This window comes from Homo sapiens, chromosome 2 (assembly GCF_000001405.40).
Source record: "Homo sapiens chromosome 2, GRCh38.p14 Primary Assembly".
Classification (NCBI taxonomy): domain Eukaryota; kingdom Metazoa; phylum Chordata; class Mammalia; order Primates; family Hominidae; genus Homo; species Homo sapiens.
The window spans coordinates 134,003,170-134,025,487 of NC_000002.12; the positions used below are offsets into that span (position 1 = coordinate 134,003,170).

Below are 22,318 nucleotides of genomic sequence, written 5' to 3' on the forward strand. Positions count from 1 at the left end.
CACAACTGCTGGCCATGCAGTCACAGCAGTGAGAGAAGCTGGACCAGGCTGGAGAGAGGAAACACCCACAGCATGAGGAGCTCAGAGTCCAGAGCCCTGCTAGAGGCAGGGCCTAGAACCGACACAGGATGGAACCTTGGCCCTTATTTCTCACCATATGCAAAAATTAATTTGAGATGGCTATGTGAAATGTGAAAGCTGCAATTTATTTTTTTAATTGATAAATTGAACTTGGTCAAAGTGAAAGACTTTTGTCCATGAAAAGATACCATTAAAAGAATTAAAAGATAAGCTGAGAGAAAATATTCACCATAAATATATATAATATATATATACACACATATATGATATAACTTGTGTCCAAAATATGTAAAGAACTCTTAGAAATCAGTAACAGAAACCATACTGCCCAATTAACACAATATGCCAAAGACTTGAGAAGGCATTTCACAAAAAAAGCTATCCAGGTGACCAAAAAGCTTATAGGAAGATGCTTAAAATTGATCAGGGAAATGCAAAGAAAACCCACAAAGAGATGCTACTATATTATCACCAGAATGAGCTAAAATAAAAAAGACTGAGTACTGCAAGCATTGGTTAGAATGTGGAGCCATTAGAATTCTCATAAACACCTGTTATGAGTGTAAAATGGTAAAAGCACTTTTGGAAACTATTTAGCACTTCCTTAAAAATGTAAACATAAGCTTTCTGTATGGTCTAGCAATTGGATTCCAACATATAAAGATATAGAAAATATATATCCACAAAAGGCTTATAAAGGGTTTTTTATAAAAATTTTATTTATAATGACCAAAAACTGAAAACATTCTCCAGCAAAAGGAAAATGGATAAACAAACTGCAATGTATTCATGCAATGGAATACTAAATGGTAGAGGAAAAAAACAAACTGTGGATCTATGCATCAATGTAGTAGAAACTCAAAAACAACATATTAGATGAAAGAGGTAAGTAAGACAGACCTGGCACGATGGCTCACGCCTGTAATCCCAGCACTTTGGAAGGCCGAGGCAGGTGGAATACCTGAGGTCAGGAGTTCAAGACCAGCCATGGCCAACATGGTGAAATCCAGTCTCTACTAAAAATACAAAAATTAGCCAGGCATGGTGGTGGGAGTCTGTAATCCCAGCTACTTGGGAGGCTGAGGCAGGAGAATCACTTGAACTCAGGAGGTGGAGGTTGCAGTGAGCCAAGATAATCCCACTGCACTCCATCCTGGGCAACAAAGTGAGACTCCGTCTCAGGAAAAAAAAAAAAATGAAGAAGTAAGACATAAAATAATACTGACTGTATAATTCATTTTATATGAAATCCCAAAACATGAAAAACTAATATATGATGTTAGAAGGAAGAAGAGGGGCTACCTTTGGGTAGAGAGGGAAGAGTGGGCCTTTACAGGAAGCAGCACAACAAAACTCCCTGAGCGGATGGAAATATTCTTGATTTTGATCTTGTTAGTTATACAGGTATGTAAATATGCAAAAAGTCATCAAGCTGTACACTTATGATTCATGCATTTTCCTGCAGTTAAATTATACTTCCAGATGTTATCCCCTGAAAAGGACACATCACCTATGCAGTATTCTGGCAGAGAATGCAGAATATAATCAATCTAATCACTAGGAAATATCAGGGAAACATAAAACAAGGAACTTTCTATTTTAAAAACATGTAAATATTGTAAAATACAAAGAAAGGCTGTGAAAAAGTTCCAGATTAAAGGAGGCTGTGGAGACGTGACAGCTAAAAACAATACCTGACCCTACATTGAATCATACACCAGAAGGGAAGAATGCTATACATGATATTATTAGAACAACTGAAAAAACTGGAATATAGACAATAAGTTAGATAACATTATTCTATCAATCAGTGGAAATTTATGAAGGTGACAATTGCACTGTAATTATGTGACAGATTACTCCTATTCTTGGAATACATACCCTACAGAATTGAGAGGTGAAGGTCCATAATGTATATAATTTGCCTTCCAATGACTCAAAGGTGAACAATAAAAAATACATATAAGATGAGGCCAGGCACAGTGGCTCACTCCTGTAATCCCAGCACTTTGGAAGGCCAAGGCAGGAGGAGTTTCAGACCAGCCTGGCCAATATAGTAACACCTTAACTTTACAAAAAATTCAAAAATTAGCCAGGCATGGTGGTACACACCTATAGTCCAAGCTGTTTGGTAGGCTGAAGTGGGAGGATCACATGAGCCCAGCTGAGGCTGCAGTGAGCCATGATCACACCACTGCACTCCAGCCTGGGTGACACGGCAAGACCCTGTCTGAAAAAATAATAATAAATAATAAATAAATAACTAAAATAAGATATATCAGGTAGGATTTCTTTTCATTGTAGTATTTTTAATTTTACAAATTTTTGTAAATTTGAAATTATTTCCAAGTAAAGTTTTTTCAAAAACCAAAAACATTTTTTAAATGCTTATATTGAGAAAACAGCACACTATAGATCACTGTTTATTAAATGATCATCCCAAATTAACAGTTGTTATTTCTGAAGGGTTATGAGGACTATGAGGTGATGGGGGTAAACATTAAATTTTTCTATATTATTTGACATTTTCCTACTTTCAATATTATTGGGGGAAAGAGATTTATTTTATTTTATTTTATTTTATTTATTTTTGAGACGGAGTCTCACACTGTTGCCCAGGCTGGAGTGCAGTGGTGCGATCTCGGCTCACTGCAACCTCTGACTCCTGGCTTCAAGTAATTCTCCTGACTCAGCCTCCTGAGTAGCTGGGATTACAGACGCCCACCACCACGCCTGGCTAATTTTTTGTATTTTTAGTAGAGACAGAGTTTCACTATGTTGGCCAAGCTGGTCTCAAACTCCTGACCTCATGACCAGCCCACCTCAGCCTCCTGAAGTGCTGGGATTACAGGCGTGAGCCACCGCGCCCAGCCTATTTTAATTTTTAAGTACAAAACAACCATCAAAATGTGACTTTATTTATTTTTTTTTTTTGGTAGTTCAGGCTGACATTTTCCTACTTTCAATATTATTGGGGGAAAGAGATTATTTTAATTTTTTAAGTACAAAACAACCATCAAAATGTGACTTGTTTGTTTGTTTGAAGTTCAGGCTTGGACCAAAAGGCAAAACTTAAAACATCTAAGTCCTCTGAAACCTTTAAGGTTCAGGTCAAATGTCACCTGCTCCAGAAAGCCTTCCAATTTAGAAAAGGGTCTTTTGGTTAGGTGCAAGCTTACCTAATAAGTATCAGAAGTGAATATATTGGCCAATGGAATACACGAAAGCTTTGAACAAGCAAAACCTAAAAAGGGAGAAGCTACAGCTAGGCTGCGGGTACAACTGGGACTATGGAATAAAAGGTCCCCAGACGCTCCATCTCCTAACTCTGTCTTCACTTAGGATACATTCTTTCTCACTGAAGCCCATTTTATTCCATGAAAGTTGTCAGAATCAAAATGGAGTCACTTGTCTTAAAAATTCTGACATACAGAGACAAGGAAGGTCACGAAGGGAGGTTCTCAACCATGAAAGCCTGATGACAAGAACTATCACAAAAGACTCTGCAAAAACCACAACCTTGCACAAAGGACATCGCAACCTTACACAAAAAAATACTCCTGCTAGGACATCTGCCCACCAACTACCTGTCCAACCTAGGTCTGGTGTCACTCTTGTTATTAATCCTTGTAGCCAAAGATAATATCTCAAAACTATTATGTAATCTTCCTCATTTTTCCTTTAAAATTCTTTGTCTTCCTTTATCTCCCTGAAAGTGCACATAGTTTTCCATAGCACGCATCTCCCCATTGCAATGCCTATTCCCAAATATAATTTTCTTTTAGAAAGTCTCCCTCTCTGTTGTTTAGATTGGCACATCCATGTGGCAGGAAATATGGCTGCCTACAGCTCCTGAGAACTTTGCCTCTTAAAATGTGCAGTCCTAGGAAGAAACAGAACCTCTTAATTTTATTCTGAAATATCTCAGAGAAGGAAGCAAATTGGTCAAGTTAGGATCAGCCTCCTTCCCTAGACCCATCAACTAAAGCCAGAGAGTATGGATCAGCTTGAATGCTGTTCCCACCACTGGACCAAGAGTTGAAGCTGTATACAGACATGGAAATTCCTTCAGAAAAAACAGACAAAGAAGGAAATATTTTACTCTCCCGTAATTCTTAGTTTCCAGCTTTCATATCACCTTCAACTAGTGGCACAGCTACTTGTGTGCTTGCCATAAATCTTCAGTAGACTGTAAGTTCCTTGGGAGTAGGAACTGTATCCTTTACTCAGTGGATATTTAGAGAATATTTAGAGAATATTTAGAGGATATTTAGAGAATAGCACAGTGCTTTCCACATACTATATGAACTATAAGCTCCAAATGGAAAGAGATTTAGCCACCATTTTCAATGAAACTTGAACCATGCCTGGGACATGGTAGGCACTCAAAAAATATTTGTTGAGTAAAGAAATAATATATAAGGCTGGGCACAATGGCTCATGCCTATAATCCTACCACTTTGGGATGCTGAGGCAGGAGGATCGCTTGAGCCCAGGAGTTCGAGACCAGCCTCCCTGCAACATGGCAAAGCCGCGTTTCTAAAAAAAAAAAAAAATTAGCCAGGCATGGTGGTAAACACTCGTAGTCCCAGCTACTCAGGAGACTGAGGTGGGAGAATCCATTGAGCCTGGGAAGTCAAGGCTGTAGTGAGCCATGATTGTGCCACTGCACTCCAATCTGGGAAACAGAATGAGACTGTGTCTCAAGGAGAGAGGGAAGGGAAAGGAAGGAAAGGGAAGGGAAGGGAAGGGAAGCAGGGAGGGAGGGAGGGAGAAGGAAGGAAGGAAGGAAGGAAGGGAGGGAGGGAGGGAGGGAGGGAGGGAGGGAGGGAGGGAGGAAGGAAGGAAGGAAGGAAGGAAGGAAGGAAGGAAGGAAGGAAGGAAATATAATCAATCTATACAAGATGGATGGACGGATGGACAGATATTTTCCTCTAGTAAAGGTAAATTTGTCCTTCGGGAAACCAAGGCATGCTTTCTGAGCTTACTAGGCTGGGTTGGAGAAGCTGACTTTGGCCATCAAATAAGCACAGTTAGCTAACTTAACATTTGGGGTGATCTGTCCCCGGTCTTGGCTTCATTACCTGTAGCCTATTCATTGAAACCTTGGGATTGTGAGTGAAACAGAGGCTAAATCAGTCTTCTACAGCTTTGCCTCTGTGGAAGATGAAAAGATACCTAAAAACCCAGCTTAGGAACGTTGATGTATAGCTGGGCACGGTGGTTCATGCCTGGAATTCCAGCATTTTGGGAGGCCCAGGCGGCCAGATCACTTGAGGTCAGGAGTTCGAGACCAGCTTGGCCAATGTGGTGAAACCCTGTCTCTACTAAAAATACAGAAATTAGCTGGGCATGGTGGCACGCTCCTGTTATCCCAGCTACTTGGGAGGCTGAGGCACAAGAATCGCTTGAACCCGGGAGCCGGAGTTTGCAGTGAGCTGAAATCATGCCACTACATTCCAACCTGGGCAACAGAGAGAGACTCTGTCTCAAAAAAAAAAAAAAAAGAAAAAGAAAAAAAAGAAAGGTTGACATATGTATGTATGTATCTAATCAGCAAATGCTTGGATACCTACCACGGGCCCAGTGCTATTCAAAGTTTGGGGGCCTGATAGGAAACAAGACAGAAATAAATGTGTTAGTGTTGTAAAGGAAAAGAGCAAAGTGCTACCAAGGTTCATAACCAAAAGATCCATGTGGAAAGCTATTTCTTTAGCCTTGAGGTCAGGAAGGCTCCTGGAAGAACTGACATCCTAAGCTCAGACTTGAAGGGATAAACAAAGATTAACTAAGTAAAGAGCCTGGAGGCAGAAGAGCTCCAGGCAGAAGGCATGCAAGCCCACAGCTTGGAACTTAAGAGGAACTTAAAAATAATCGAGTAAGTGGTCAAGACTTATCTGTAAGGATGTTTCTTGTGGTATTATTTATGGAGAATGAAAAATAAAAACAACCCAGGCATCCACAAACAGAGAAATGATTAAATAAAGCTGTGTGATATGATGATAGAACCAACAAGCCATTAAAAATAATAGTGCAGTTGACAATGCTCAAAGTATATTACATTTTTAAAACAGGATGCAAATTTTGCTATGTCTATATTACATTTTTTGTATGCATTGAATGTTCAGGCTGATTACCCCAAAATTCTACCTGTAGTTATATCTGGGTCGTGGAAGGAATGACAGATAATCATTTTCTACTTTGTGCTTTTCAGTATTTTCCCAAAAAACATTTGTTTTACAATGACCATATAGCACTTCTGTTGTGGAAAAAAAAATTTAAGGAAGAAGCAGACTTGCTTTTTCAGTCCATCGCTCAGTGTATTCTCCCGGCTGGAAAGCATCAGCGAGGCCGACAAAGGCCCTGGGGGTTGTGCAGCTTAGCGAATCCACCCCCTCAGGTCCTGCATTCAGAGCTACCTGGGCCTGTGACTTGGCTGCCCCTGCCTCCTCTTGCATAGGAGTTTTCCTCCCTCAGGAAGGTTTATTTTGCCTTCATTACACAAATGCTGCTGCTCTGAAAGGAGCTTCACTCTGGGGCTTGACGGCGCTGGGGACACGGGAGAAGGAGCCACAGCTTCACTCTGGGGCTTGACGGCGCTGGGGACACGGGAGAAGGAGCCACAGCTTCACTCTGGGGCTTGACGGCGCTGGGGACACGGGAGAAGGAGCCACAGCTTCACTCTGGGGCTTGACGGCGCTGGGGACACGGGAGAAGGAGCCACAGCTTCACTCTGGGGCTTGACGGCGCTGGGGACACGGGAGAAGGAGCCACAGCTTCACTCTGGGGCTTGACGGCGCTGGGGACACGGGAGAAGGAGCCACACTGCTCTTAGCAAGTAGCGCAGGGAAAGCCCGCTCGCTCCTGGCGGCCTCAGCACCAGAAACAGGCACGCCTGAGGTTGTTTGTGAGGGATACGGAGCTGCTGCTTCCCAGCCAACCATTGCCACCTGCCCACCAGATGCAGAAGCAGCCACCTCTGCCCAAAAACAATGGACTCCTTCCAACATGGGAAGACTCCACGAGTGAGGCAGGAAGAGGAGAGGAAGCACTTCTGTGAACTTGAGCACAAGCATTTCACGGTTTCAAGCATTGGTCTCAGCCTTGGCCACAAGCTGGAATCACTTGGAGAGCTTTCGAAAATACTGATACCTTGCTTCCTTCACCAATTACTTTAATTAAAAATGGCTGCAGCTGTAAGAACCCTTGTCTGATATATTTGCAACTATGCTCCCATTTACAAATGTACCTTCTAATGCTCAGTTGTCAGATTCCAATGCAAAGGTGGCGTGGACTCCCTTTGTGTGGGTGGGGTTTGTGGGTAGTGGTGAAGGACTGATAACAGAAAAATGCCTTCAAGTGTACTGATTTATTAATAAACATTAGGTGTTTGTTTAAAAAAAAGAAAAAGAAAATACTGATGCCTCGGGGCCATGCGCAGAGATCACAGTTTCACCTGTGTGGACAGTGACCTGAGCATGGGGGTCTGAGGAGCTTTCATTCTCTCTTCCAAGCTCTATTCCTGCACTGCATATTCCCTATAAGACATTCCCTAAGCAAGAATGCCCTTCCCATGCCATGTCCTGCCACCCTCTCTCCTTTCTTTTAAACCAGTGCTGAAATTCCATCTTCAAGAAGAACTGGAGCTCAGGCCATGTGGTCTAATGCAGTTCTCTCGTGCTTCATTTCTTCACTCACTCAAATGGAAATGGGCCACAGCTTTCCTGCACTTGCAGGCCTCCTCTCCCTAAGAGACACCAGCAGCAGCCAACAGTGGCCCCTCCTCAGAGTCTGAGTTTTAACTCCTCCAAGCTTCTAAGTTTTAGAAGGAGTTTCCAGCCCTATGTCTTTGTTCACGCAGTCCTGGAAGTAGAAGCTGCTTTCTACAGTCACTACCTCCTTGATACCTCGGTACTGAGCAGGGGTCAGCAAACCTCTCTGGCAAAGAGCTAGATAGATAATCGATATTTTAGAATTTGGAAGCCATATAATCTCTGTTGAGACTATTTAACTCTGTTGTGACAGCACAAAAGCAGACATAAACCATATGTAAACAAATGAGCATGGCTGTGTTCTAATAAAGCTTCATTTACAAAAACAGGCGCAGGCCGGATTTGGCCCACGGGTCATAGTTTGCGGACCCCTGCCTTCTGGTTATCTTTCTACCTTTCCAGTTACCTCGTTAACAACTTTGGACCTAATTAATAATTCTGTAGATTGAATTGTCTATGTTTAAATAACTGTAGTTATTTCTGTCCCTTAACTGGGCTCTGTCTGATACCGTTTCTCTGATGTATTTTTATTAGGGGGAGTGAAAATTTTTAAGTGATCTCTTCAATGCTTCTGTATTGTTTGAATTTTTCATAAGCACATACTTTCCAAAAACGTGTTCTCCTTTAATAAGCACTTAGTACTGCCTTTTCTCTTCTTTAGCAGCAAGGGGAGACTATACGTTAAATATTTCATTTCATTTAAATATTCCCTCTGAGCATGGAATAGTTGTAGTCTTCTCAGAAATACTACTGATTATTCCATATTGAATTTTTGTGTGTGTATATATATATAAGCAAAAGAATAAGAGCTGCATTGCCAACCACAGGGTGGTTGTGAAAAACAAGTTAGATAATGGATGGAAAAATGTTTTGAGATGTTAAAAGTGCCTCGCTGATAGGAAGAGGTGGAAGGAATCACCCCTTTTAGCCTTCCTGTTACAGGCTCTTAACATACTTTAGGGAAAATATTTAATCTACTGTTTTCTGGTCTTTAAGTGCATTTCTCTTATAAGCAGATATTCGTTGTGTGTTTTTAACGAGTCACCTGATTATGAGTATGCAAGATCACAAGCAGGGGCCCCAACTCCACCTACCGCAGGCCAGCGCCGTGGTCCACAGAGCCCTTGGTAAATGCCTTGGCATTGAGAGTTGGCAGGAGACCAGGCCCCCCAAGAGAATCCGCTCCCATGGAAGCATTGCCTTTCAGTGTAATACTTGCTAGAGACTTAACATGGAGAAGGAGGAAATTTATATTATCCCTACAGCAGAAGTTATCTAGGGTCTATGACCTTGGTTGGACAAAAATACTGAAGTTAAGCACTTCCTTCTGATATTAAAGTAGGCAACTATGTAAGCTGTAGCTGTGGCTTTCTCAGCAACAGAAACCACAGATTTTTTTTTAATATCATATTACAGTTGTTGTATCTGGAAATATGTTATCTATGCTCACCACTACTTCAAACTATATGGTGGCCATTAGACCCACTTCTAGATCTTTTTATGTAAAGTGTTAATAACAAAGTGCATATGTTGTTCTATCTCAAATTTGTTTCTTTTTATATTTTGATAACTGTATTTCAATGTCATGTTTGCTTTGTAAACCTATGTATTTTATTTTCTGCATGGAAAGGGATCTGTATGTTTACCAGGCTGCCAAAGGGCGACATGGCACATAAAAAGTTAAGATTGAGGCGGGCAGATCATCTGAGGTCAAGAGTTGGGAGACCAGCCTGGCCAACATGGTGAAACCTCGTCTCTACTAAAAATACAAAAAAAAATTAACAGTGTGGTGGCACATGCCTGTAGTCCCAGCCACTCAGGGAGGCTGAGGCAGGAGAATCACTTGAATCCAAGAGGTGGAGGTTGCAGTGAGCCAAGATCACGCCACTGCACTCCAGCCTGGGCGACAGGGAGACTGCATGTCAAAAAAAAAAAAAAAAAAAAGATTAAGAGCCCTCACCCCAGAATAGTAAATATATTCTCCCAAGGCGTTCGGTTGTTTTTGTTTCCTAATCTGTATCCTGATCCTCACTGGTTCTTCTCTCTTCACTCCCAGATTCTCATATACACCCCTCTTTTCTCACCCCTTTCCACTATACAGAGCAATTCACCTCAGCTACCTGGTCAGGGCAAAATGAGGGTCTCTTCTGTCACACAGCTCATCTTCCTTTGAAGGTGGTTTGCAGATTATGTTTTTTCCCTTGAAGACCTTGGGGTCTTAGCCACTCTATCATGGGCTTATTAAACTTCTCAAGAATAATTTTGATGAATTGTTATAGAAAAGCCTGGTGTCTGTTGTAAGACCTCAGACACAAGGCTTTGAGGAAGACTTTGTTATTAACTAAAAAGCCTCATACAGGAAGGAACAAAGCAAGCACATGCAATGCAGAATCTCTACTACTTGTACACCCAGTTCCTTGACTGGCCTTTCTAGACACATGATTTAAATCTAGAAATACAACAGTGGATTGATTCTTTTAGGTACACTGAATTAAGAAGCAAGCTGAGCATAGCAAAATATTATAATATGGCAAGACGTTCTGTGATGTTCTCTTAAAATAGAGCCTAGGTTAGTAATTTCTAAAGAGCTGTTTGTAAAGCCCACTTATAAGTGACTTTTGAAAAGGGTCACACTATTTGTTCAAGCCAAGTAAAAGATGATTCTTACTTGTTTTCCAAGTTCTGAATCAACAGTATCTGTGACATGCAGCTTTTTTGTTGGGGGATGAGGAGGGCAGGCAGATTTCTTCTATAGAATGTTATCTCTCCATCTTAGCACACCAAGTTTACAGTGCTCTCTTTGAATAACACAGGGAAAAGTCATATAGTAATCATCTATCAGGTCAAGGACATTCAGTATGAGAGGAAGCATTTTTTCCTGGCAAGTGATAACAAGCTACAAGAGCAAGCAAAGATCATTAAGAAATATACAGGACATACTAAAACCCAATGGCCTCCCAGTCCACAATATGAGGCCTGAGATATCTGGCCTGCATCTCTGTGCAGTTCTTTAGGACTTCCTTACAGTCTGCACTACATCTATAGTAGATGCCAAAAGTGATACCTCTTGATTTTGCCCTCATACTTAAAAGATATTTTCACTGTGTACAGAATTATAATTTGGCAGCTGTTTTCTTCCACCACATTGAGGAGATGTTTTTTTGCCCTCCATGTTTGCTGTTGAGAAGTCAGCTGTCAGTCTACCTGCATCTCCTTTGATAGTGATCTGTCTTTGCTCTTGGTCTGCTTTTAAGTAGTTTCTTTGTCATTAGTTTTCTGTAGATGTGAGTTTCTTTCCTTTCTTTTTAATCTTGAGATGATTTGTTGTATTTCTTGAATCAGTCGATTGGTATCTTTCATCAGTTGGGCAATAGTCTCAAGAATTACCTTCTACAACATTGCCTCCATCACATTCTCCATCTCCTCTATTTCTGGAAGTCCAGTTACATGTGTGTTAGACCTTATCATTCTATCCTCCATGTATCTTAATTATTTTTTCATATTTACCATCTCCCTGTCTCTTTATGCTGCCTTCTGTACTTTTTTTCTCACTGAGATTTTGGCCTGAAAATTATTCATTCCTGTGTTGGCTCCTCAGTGCTTTTAAGAATATTTTTAAATTATATTTTGTGTAACATTTCTGGTGGTTTTCATTGGTATGATTGTTTTAAATATTTAGTCAAGCACATTCCAAGAAACTGATGTCTATGGTTGAAATTTGATGAGTAAAGCCACTTACATGTTGAAAAATTTTCCACTAAAATGGGAACTTTGGCCTATAAAATTTTTGGAGTTCTTAAATATGTAAATATCTTTTCGATCTAAGACTAAAGACCTTAGAATTTTATAAACTGTTGCATTCTTTTATACTTCCAACTACTTTACTACTGTTACTGACATTTACCATTACATCCAGTTGAGCTTCGAACATTTTCTACAGCTTTGTCTGACTTAAAGTCACAATCTATGATATCATCCTACCAATGGAAAGTAAACTAATGTCTTTATGTGTGCCTGTATGTATTTATACTAGATTATTTAGTAATAGTTTATATTAACTTATATCAAAAATCTTATTCCTAGAAAAAATAATTGCCGTATTTCCTTTAATTGACAATAAATAAATTTCAAAATAGCAGTACCAATATTAATACAAACAGTGATCCTACTCAGTGAAGCTCAATAGAGTAATTGCTTCTTTTTTACCCTTAGAACACATCTCAGTAAGAATGGCAGTCCCGTTAATTTGTATTCTGGTGTATTCCCAGAACTCTTTGTATTCGTGCCCAATAATAGTTGTCAATAAATATTGTTGAATGAATGAATTTTAAAGTCACTCATTATCCCACATTCTTTGTTGCTTTTTAAAATACTTATCTGAAGTTTTCTATAGTCTCATTATTTCCCTTTATTTTTCAACAAAGGTGTTGACATTCTGACAGATGGTAGTTCTAAGTTTTCAAAAGAGAGTAGCTTTGACTACTATTGATAGTATTTTCTCAGTAGCAATATTCAGCTAGTACAGTAGAGTAGAAATTAGTCCTGTCCCACCACTTTAAGAGATATGTGGAAAGTCATTTATAAGAGTTTAGGCACCTCTGGGCCATCCACAATTAGTAAATGCAGGGTCATATCTGAAGAGTCATAAACATAAGATCCTGATATGCAAACCAATTGTGCATTCTACTGTTCAATTTCTAGTCATATTAGACATTGAATATTCAGTTAAAATTTGACTTTATGGAATTCTGATCTGATATTAGAATTTTTATATTATCTGTATACCTTTTCTGAACTAATTTTCCTCTTTTTGTAAAGAGCAATAAATATTCTCTTACCTAAAAAATTATATAAAATATTATTATCCTAAAGTTTATAGTTCATAAATCAAAATCATTCTTCTAATTTGTGTTATTTTGGATCAGCACCAGTTAAAGTCTTTAATTTTCCTTTTGCTCATTTTACAGAGAATCGTAGTGTCTTGGAATTCCATGTGATAACCAAGGAAGGATACATGTAAACACAAGTTATTATGACTGTGTATGAGAGTATTACTTCATAGAGTATATCAGGAATATATTCTTAGGAATCTTACTTTTTTTGAGACAGAGTCTCACGCAGTTGCTCAGGCTGGAATACAGTGGTGGCATGATCACAGCTCATCACAGCCTTGACCTTCCCAGGGTGAGGTGATCCTCCCACCTCAGCCTCCTGAGTAGCTGGGACTATAGGCATGCACCACCACATGCAGCTAATTAGGAATCTTATTTTAAATTAAAGGCAGTCCTAGTATGGAATGCCAAAAATTTTTTTTTTTGAGACTGAGTCTCACTCTCGCCAGGCTGGAGTACAGTGGCGCGATCTCGGTTCACTGGAACCTCCACCTCCCGGGTTCAAGCAATTCTCCTGCCTCAGCCTCCTGAGTAGCTGGGACTATAGGCACGTGCTACCACACCCAGCTAATTTTTGTATTTTTAGTGGACATGGGATTTCACCATGTTGGCCAGGATGGTCTTGATCTCTTGACCTCGTGATCCGCCCACCTCGGCCTCCCAAAGTACTGGGATTGCAGTTGTGAACCACAGCGCCGGCCATGGAATGCCACATTCTAAGAAGCCTTTAAACAAATATGTTTAGTACTATAATATCATGTAAGTTTAGACTTCTAAAAGCAAATTAAGAATATTAGGAAATATAACAAAATATAACCAGATAAAATACATTGCTTAATAAACAGATATTAGAAAAATGTGACAGTATTACACCTTAAAATTTTACTCAGAACAAGAGAAAGAACTACATATAAATAAAAACCATTGCTTAAGAGGAAATGTGCAAAGCCTACACAGGAAAAATTTTAAACGTTCTTAAAAGCACAATAGCAAAAGGTTGTAAACAAGCAAGATCTTGCAATGAGATCAATTGAAGAGGTCACTGTAGCCACAGGACGGAGTACTATATGGCTAAAGAAAGAATGTGGAGGCTCTCTATATATGACAAAGAAAAATCTACAGGTTAAATAGTAAGTGAAGAAAGCAAAGTATCTAACAGTGCCTTTACAATGCTACTTTTTATATGAGAAAAAGCAGAGAAATAAGAATAAATATTCATACTTCCTTGTATTTGCAAAAAAGAAACAATAAGATAATAAACATAAAATTAATACAAATGATTACCTCTGGGGAACAAACTGGAGTGGATGAAAACAGGAGTGAGTGCAAAAGTTTTAGTGCATACCTTTTTGTATTGTTTTGATTTTATTTAACCGTGAAACTGTATTACCTATTCAAATAAAATAAAATTTATATAAAATGTTCTAGTGGAAACATTTCTCTAGATGCACATATTTATTAGATTATTAGAGTTTGCCTAGCACCAATTCACAAAAGACACCATTTCTTACCATTGCAACTAGCATAACACAATTACAATACATTCCAATTGAAATCCCATCTTGCATTACATTTGCATAAAGCAATCGCTCTTTCCCTATGGAGAAAAAACAGCAAATCACATTCTTAATATTACAGTAAAGTGTTAAATTTATCATTTTTATTATATAAATGTTTTTAACCACTTTTTGAAGTTGAAAAGGGATTGTATACAAAGGTCTCCATGTTTGAAAAATATATTTTAGAGAAACAAGATCTACAAATGACTTTTTAAACCAAAAAAAAAAAAACAGCTCCATACCATATTTTTGCTATTTCTAGAACATGGACTTTTTATTCTGTGGCTTGTGTTCTCTTATTAACAGATCAAAATCTTTTAAATAGATGACCAACCTGGAGAAATAGAATTCTTGTTTTTAAAGCAGTTTAATTCATAATTTTTAGTTTTATGTAAAAAAAGTCCTCACATTTTTCACGGTTACAAAAGTACACAGAAGTTAGGGAAATGTTTTCAAGCAGAAGTACTTTATAGCTTTATCAATGGAAGCTTCATATTCAAAACATATATTTTTAATTCTTTGCCTGGGAAGTGTTCCAAGTAGTCAGTCATTATCGAGACCCTGAAATCACAAAATACTAATTTTATTCAGTATTCAAAAATATCTGTGTTGTTTTGCTGAATGTTTGTGTCCAGGAAATTTGCTATGATTCAGTATTCCACTGTGGTCATTCCTAGAAGAATGTCAGGCTGTACTTTTGCCACCAAGCCATGGGTTGGTTTATGTCAGTCCTGTGAAGCTCAAGGGGCCTCTTTGTGACCACGCTGATGGATATGCAGCATCTTGCTCAGCACTGTGCCAGCTCTGTTTCTGTCTGGAGGACTTCACCCACCACTGCTCCAAGATGATATATTTGTAGTGAGACCATAAAGGGGCCACTCACCACCATCAGTAAGTACATAAACACAACTGCAGCACTAACTTTTTTTCCAGTGCAGTTGCTGAGCTTAGAGTACTGGTAACTAACCCATTTTCTGGAGTATTGTGTAAAGATGAGTAAGAGTGCAGGTGTGCCATGGCTCACGCCTTTAATCCCAGCACTTTGGGATGCCGAGGCAGGTGGATCACCTGAGGTGGGGAGTTCGAGGCCAGCCTGACCAACATGGAGAAACCCTGTCTCTACTAAAAAAAATAATAATAATAATTAGCCGGGCGTAGTGGTGCATGCCTGTAACCCCAGCTACTCAGGAGGCTGAGGCAAGAGAATTGCTTGAACCTAGGAGAGGGAGGTTGCAGTGAACCAGGATTGCACCATTGCACTCCAGCCTGGGCAACAAGAGCGAAAATCCATCTCAACAAACAAAAGTGCAAGTGAGCAAGAGCGCACAGACACCGGGAACTGAGGGACACGGCAAGGGGCCAAAAGAAAGGGTCTTTTTGGCAGACACAGCTAATTGCCATGACGGTTAATAATCTGATGGGAATATTTATTAAAACCTAGAATTTTTCAGTCCATGCTCCAAGTCCTAAGGCCACTGGGCCTGCATCTCCTAAGGATTGTTTATGGCTTCTTTGTGAGCTTCACTCATGCAAATGGATACCACAATACAATCCCCTTCCTGCTTGCATAGGGGTCAGCAAAATGTTTTCTGTAAAGGACCAGATGGTAAATATTTTAGGCTCTGTTGGCCAGATCATCTCTGTTGCAAATACTCAACTCTGCCATAGACAACACAAAAACAGTAGAAATGGCTGTGTACTAATAAAATTTTATGTACTAATGAAACCATCATTGCAATTGGCTGTTATTTGAATTTCACGTAATTTTCACATTCATGAAACAGTCATTTTTTGACAACCATTTAAAAGTGGGAAAATCATTCTTTGCTTACAGGCCATACAAATACAGCTGGCAGGCCAGGTTTGACCTGCTGGCGTTGTTTGCCAACTGCTATTCTAGGTGTTGGACAAAAACAGCTGGAAGGTAAGCTAAAACCCCCCTGGGCCATCCCCTTACAATTTTATTTAAACTGAGCTTTCTGGCTACAGAACTACATGTCATTATGATCATTAATAAGGTTTTGGGACCCTTCAAGTCTTCATTGAAAAGTCCACTTAATTCTAGCTTAATGTCATAATTGTTGCTCTCTACCTTGCAAAAGCTTTCAAGCTTATGGGTTCTACGGTCGGATTTAATGTTTAAGCTATTATATAAAAAATGGTAAAACTTGTCCCGTAGCATTTGAGATTTAATCTGAGTCTGTGTTGAGGAATATATGTTTGGACCAATGTTTTGGCAAAGTAATCCTGTCTGCTTTCTTGTAGAACAATGGTTCTCAAAATGTAGTCTCCAGATCAATAATATTAGCATCACCTGGGCACTTTCTAGAAATGCAAATTCTTCAGCCCCAGACTTGCTGCATGAAAAACTGGAAGTGGGGCTGAGAAATCTGTGCTTTAACAAAAGTCCTCCAAGTGATCCTGATGTGCATTAAAGTTTGAAACAACTGATAGAGGGAAAAGTCTTGGACTTTCCAAAAAATAATCACATTACAAATAGGACATGGGGTTACCACTTGATAAGAGAAGGTCAATGCGTTCAATTTGCCAGTGGGTGAAGGGCTTCTGACACCAGCTTCTCTGCATTACAAGCAGAGAACTCTATGTGATAACAAGCTGCAGTAATGGAAAATCCAGGCACGCACAGGCAGTTCTGATTTGTTCCACTTCTCCACTTTCCCAGGTGTCTCCTCCAACTGATGTATTGACTGGTAGAGGGGACTTAGGAATCATAGGATGCCTATATGGGCATAAACAAGTTGTAAACAGGGTGAAGGAAGCAACATGCTGTTTTCCTGATGGCCTCTTTCTAATCAGGGGCCTCATTCTTTTAGTTATATGGTTGTTTTATGGTTGGCAAGTGGCAAGAGGAAATAGATGGTCCTTGAGAGAAGCAGCTTTAGCAGCTGCAACAACTCAAGCAATTCCCTGACTAAGCTCATCCATGTAATTGATGTGGGCTATTGGTCATGGTGGAAAAGGTAAGAGGAATTATGAATGGGAATGTACTGGTGAGGAAAAATAATGTATTGGCCAGATAAACAACAGAGACCTGAGTTGGAATCCTGGAGACGATGATATTAGAATTAGGAATTATAGAATGAACAAAGCTGGCATACCCATTAAGGTGGCATAAGTTCTCAGCCAAACAGTAGGCTACCAGTCTGCCATCAGAGTTAAATGTCCTGACTGCTTTACCACGTATCTAGAGGTACATGGACTCTGGGCTAGAACTAAGACACCCTGTTTAAGGAGGTTTATTCACGAAGGGCTTCGTGCCTTTTATGCTTATTGTAAACATAAGTATTAAGACATCAAAGTGACCACATAGGAAATGTGACTTTGGTTTTAGCAGGAAGTGCTCTAAGCTAATTCTCATTAGGGCAGCTACCCACAGACAGATAGGACTTCTGCAAGAGGCAAATCTGGATAGTCCTTGTGGCTTAGTCATTGTTAGTTTTCCACTCAAGATGGTCCAGGTAGGAAGACCTGATCAGTCTATACCATGTTCAACTTGCAGTCCATTGCTGCAATTAATGTGCAAAGTAAATCTCAATTCAAAACACACACAGGTCAAGAAGAGATGTTCTTCGTGAAATGTTCAGGGATGGCTTGAGGCCAGGAAACTGTGCAGAAGCATACTCCGGTGGGCATACGGGGAGTGAACCTGCTGAAAGGCTTTTTCAGGCCCCTTAGAAGGCTTCTTCTTCAATGTTGACTCAAATTTGCAGACTTTCTAGGGTATTTGTGTGGGAAGCACTTGAGCATTTTGTCTCTCATATAAGTTTCTCCTCCCACTTCCACCTTACCTCCATCTGCTCAAGATAAATCTTCTTCAGGTTTCCCTACATTATGGCCCATCAAAAAGAAGGCGTAATTGTGAGTCCTCCTGGTTGTACTTGTTCCATATTTTAACAAACTTTCTAACCAGGCAATCTAATGGATTAGCAAAAACTAAACAATGCTGGAAAGCCCTATTAAATCCTTGGACCAGGAAGTGCCCCCATGGTCAACAGATTCAGGCCAGGGATGAAAACAGGACGCTCAAATGTTTTATAAAGTCTTATAGAAAAGATATTGTAGCCAGGTGCGGTGGCTCACGCCTGTAATCTCAACACTTTGGGAGGCCGAGGTGGGCAGATTACTTGAGGTCATGAGTTCAAGACCAGCCTGGCCAACATGGTGAAACCTCGTCTCTACTAAAAATACAAAAATTAGCCCCACATGGTGGTGTACACCTGTAATCCCAGCTACCTGAAAGGCTGAGGCACAGAAATCCCTTGAATCCAGGATGCGGAGGTTGCAGTGATCTAAGATCATGACACTGCACTCCATCCTGGGCAATAGAGTGAGATTCTGTCTCAAAAAAAAAAGAAAAGAAAAGAAAAGAAAAAAGAAAAGATATTGTAAGTGGAAATAGGTGACACAGAGAATAGACAGACAAAGGGCAGGCTTCATTTATGACCTAGAATTGAAATGACAAAGCCTTTCAAACTGAAACTGTTCAGGTCCAGAGACAACTGAGTCAGCCCCAGACAGCAAAGAGGAGTTCAGAAGAGGAACTGAAAGTTAGATGGCAGGAGGCTTCACTGTGTGCCCCTAGTCCTTATGATGCCAGTCCTCTTCACTGGCCTCGAGGGCCACATGGACACAGATCCTGCAGACTACACCAAATTGATAAAGAAAGCCATACCAGCTGTTCAGGTGTTCGGGTAAACTCCGTCATTCACTAAAATCAAGCATCAAATGGAAGGGGGAAGCACATAATATCCAAAAGTAAGTGGTCCAACTCGCCAGTCTTGTTAAGACCTTAAAGGAAGGGTCAGACAACTTTTCTGCAAAGGATCAGACAGTAAATATGTCAGGCTTTGTGGGCCGTGCTGTCTCTTTCACAGCTGCTCAACTCTGCCCTTGTGGCAAGAAAGCAGGTGTAAAATAAGTGGGGCTATGTTCCAACAATACTGATGTGAATTTCATATAGTTTTGACATGTCAGGAAATGTTACTCTTCTGTTGATTTTTTTAAAAAATGTAAAAGCTGGCCAGGTGTGGTGGGTCAGGCCTGTAATCCCAGCACTTTGGGAGGCCAAGGCGGGCGGATCACCTGAGGTCAGGAGTTTGAGACCAGCCTGGCCAACATGGTGAAACTTCATCTCTATTAAAAATATAAAAATTAGCCAGGTGTGGTGGCAGACGCCTGTAATCCCAGCTACTTGGTAGGCTGAGGTGGGAGAATCGCTTGAACTCAGGAGGCAGAGGCTGCCCTGAGCCAAGGTTGCACCACTGCACTCCATCCTGGGCGACAGAGCGAGACTCAATTAAAAAAAGTCTAAAAGCCATTTTAGCTTATGTGCTGTACAAAAACAGATGGCAGCTAGATTTAGCCCATGGGGGTATGTTTGCTGACCCCTGCCTTAAAGATACAGTACCATCATTGTTTTAGATATCCTCACGTGGAACTAAAGTAATACTTAATCCATTATTTTATGTAATATCCACTAAGTAAGGTATATACAATGATCAACATTTTTTAGAGAAGGAGAAACCAAGGTTCACACAAATTCATTAATATTCTCAAGATTAGGTTCCACAGCTAGTCAGTGTCAATACCAGGGATCTCTGCTTTTTCCTGTGTACCTTTCCTTAATGATTTTTTTTTTCTTGAGACAGAGTCTTGCTCTGTCATCCAGGCTGGAGTGCAGTGGCATGATCTCGGCTCACTGCAACCTCTGCCTCCCAGGTTCAAGTGATTCTCCTGCTTCAACCTCCTGAGTAGCTGGGACTATAGGTGTGCACCACCATGCCTGGCTAATTTTTTTGTATTTTTAGTAGAGATGGGGTTTCAACATGTTGGCCAGGCTGGTCTTGAACTCCTGACCTAGGTGATCTGCCTGCCTCGGCCTCCCAAAGTGCTGAGATTACAGGCATAAGCCTGAAAATTCTAAAAGCAAACACATATTGAGCATTCAACATGTGCCAGATGCTGCTCTACATGCTCTAGACCAGCGTTTCTCAACCAGGGCCAAAAGTGGGTATTTGGCAATGTCTGGAGATATTTCTGGTTGTCACAGTGCTGGGGAAGGACTGCCTACTCACTGGAATGTAGTAGGTAGAAGCCAGGAGTGCTGCTAAACATCCTGCAGTGTACAGGACAGACCCCATCACAAGGAATAATCCAGCCCAAACACCTATCACACAGAGGTTAGGAAACCCTGTTCTAGATGTATTATCTCATTTAACCCTCACAGCAACCCTAAGAGGTAAGTATGGTTATTTCCCATTTAACAAGCTGAAAGTCATCCCTTTCCATTCCAAAACTCATTTCTCCAATTTTGGAGAGAACTATTTTTAAATCTTACTGTACATATTCTTTTTGCCTTAAACACTGAGCTGAATAATTAAACTCAAACATTTATTCAGTGCTTTTAAACTCACAGAGAACTTTCCATCTATATTATCTTGTCTTCACTACAAGCCTGTAGCCAATGTCCTATTATTATCACGCACCTCACCCCCATTTGGCAAACATGACACTGAGACTCTAAAAGAGATGATGACTTGCCGAAAGTCACAAAACTGGTACATGGTGGAACTGGGGCTGACCCCAGGTCTTCTGAGTCATCCTCTCGTTTTCCTTCCACTTAGGCATGCTGGTTCACCTTGTGTTGAGAACACAGGGTCTCCTTCTGCCCGTGCTTTATTCTGCACAGGGTCTAGGTGGGCTACAAAGCCATGTAGCGTGGTTCTGCTCCCAGAACATTCTGAGCACTGTTTTCTATGCATGGGGCATTTGTTAAGTGTAATGTCTCAGGTCCTCCTTCCTTCATAGTCTTGCAGCCAGCATGCTTGTCTTCAGCAGCCTCCACACACACCCTCCAATCCCTTTTAATTCAGGCTCCTAGTCTGCTTCAAGACAGAAAGCTATTTGGACTGATCAAAGTCATACCTAATATGAGACTTAGCAGGATCTCAGGGAGGGCCTGAAAGGTGATCTTTTGAGTAAGGGCATGAGCTTCTGTGCAGGGTCTTCAGTGAGCCACCCTGTAGCTGAGTATGCAGGATGAAGACAGCAAAGTCTTCTCCATAGAATTTCCTAGGTTTCTACAAACCCCATGCTATATTTTGTTTAGCTGCCTGTTTCCCCATGGAAACACTAGGAACCCCTGATAGAATTAGACTCAGAGGTGGGAAATTTTCGTCGGCTTTCATTGTGAGGGTCAAAGGCTTACCCTGGGAATGCTCTCTGTGGCCTTGGGCGGCCACGGCAACAGAGATACACTTCATTTGTTGCTCCTCAAGAACCTGCCACCTTTCCCAAGACAGTCCCCACAGCCTGCCTAGATTTAAAAAGACTTCTCTCTATCTGACAAACTCCCTTCTTCTCTATCAATGATCTTCTTGTAGAGGCAGAGGTCTCCCTATGAAAAACTGATACAGAACCCAGATAGTCCAGGGCTTAGGTATGAATGGCTGTGCTTCTGACTATAACTACTGATTAGATGAAATAATGTGTGTAAAGTGCTCAGTACCATCCTGGACATTTAATAAATGCTAGTTGTTATTATTATTCCTGCTTTTACTATTTTATCACTTGCTATTGAACAGACAATGGTCTATAACTATTGTCAGTAACTCCATTTTAGGGAAGAGCTTTGTGATGGAAGTTATCTTCTGATTCATTTTTTTCAGCTCAGTTGTAAATAGATAGATTAGCTGAATAAGGTTCCTTAAAATTCAATATAATATAATATATAGTAAGAACTAGCATTACATGTTTTCTATGTACCAGGAACTTTTCTAAGTGCTTTACATGGGTTAATTTACTAAACCTGCAAGTTACTAAGAAGTAAGCACTATTACTATCCCCATTTTACAGATAAGAAAACAGAGGCACAAATTTACTTAATTAGTGAGTTGTGCAGTTACGATCACACTTGCTATTTCATCTGCCTGGAACATCCTCCTTTTATTTACAAATCTTATCCCTCTTATTCCCTACTCTCAATTGAAACCTC

At 40.4% G+C, this 22,318-nt stretch overlaps 1 long non-coding RNA gene across 2 annotated transcripts in view, besides 1 other annotated feature; it reads right to left on the reverse strand.

The window, feature by feature from the left end:
* LOC105373628 (uncharacterized) overlaps positions 1–22,318 on the reverse strand; it is a 45,070-nt gene that overhangs the window by 16,953 nt on the left and 5,799 nt on the right. The window contains exon 4 of one of the 2 annotated variants that reach the window (XR_923353.2): positions 15,536–17,044. The exons of the other annotated variant lie outside the window; for it this stretch is intronic. This is a non-coding gene — a long non-coding RNA (uncharacterized LOC105373628). Of the gene's footprint in view, positions 1–15,535; positions 17,045–22,318 lie in introns of those variants that run through there. 2 annotated transcript variants of the gene reach the window in all.
* Positions 17,758–17,857: an enhancer, noted in NCBI's record as "active region_16543". NCBI's record gives its function as "activates an Ori minimal core promoter by ATAC-STARR-seq in GM12878 lymphoblastoid cells {active_cell/tissue: GM12878}" and the evidence as "EXISTENCE:reporter gene assay evidence [ECO:0000049][PMID:35858748]".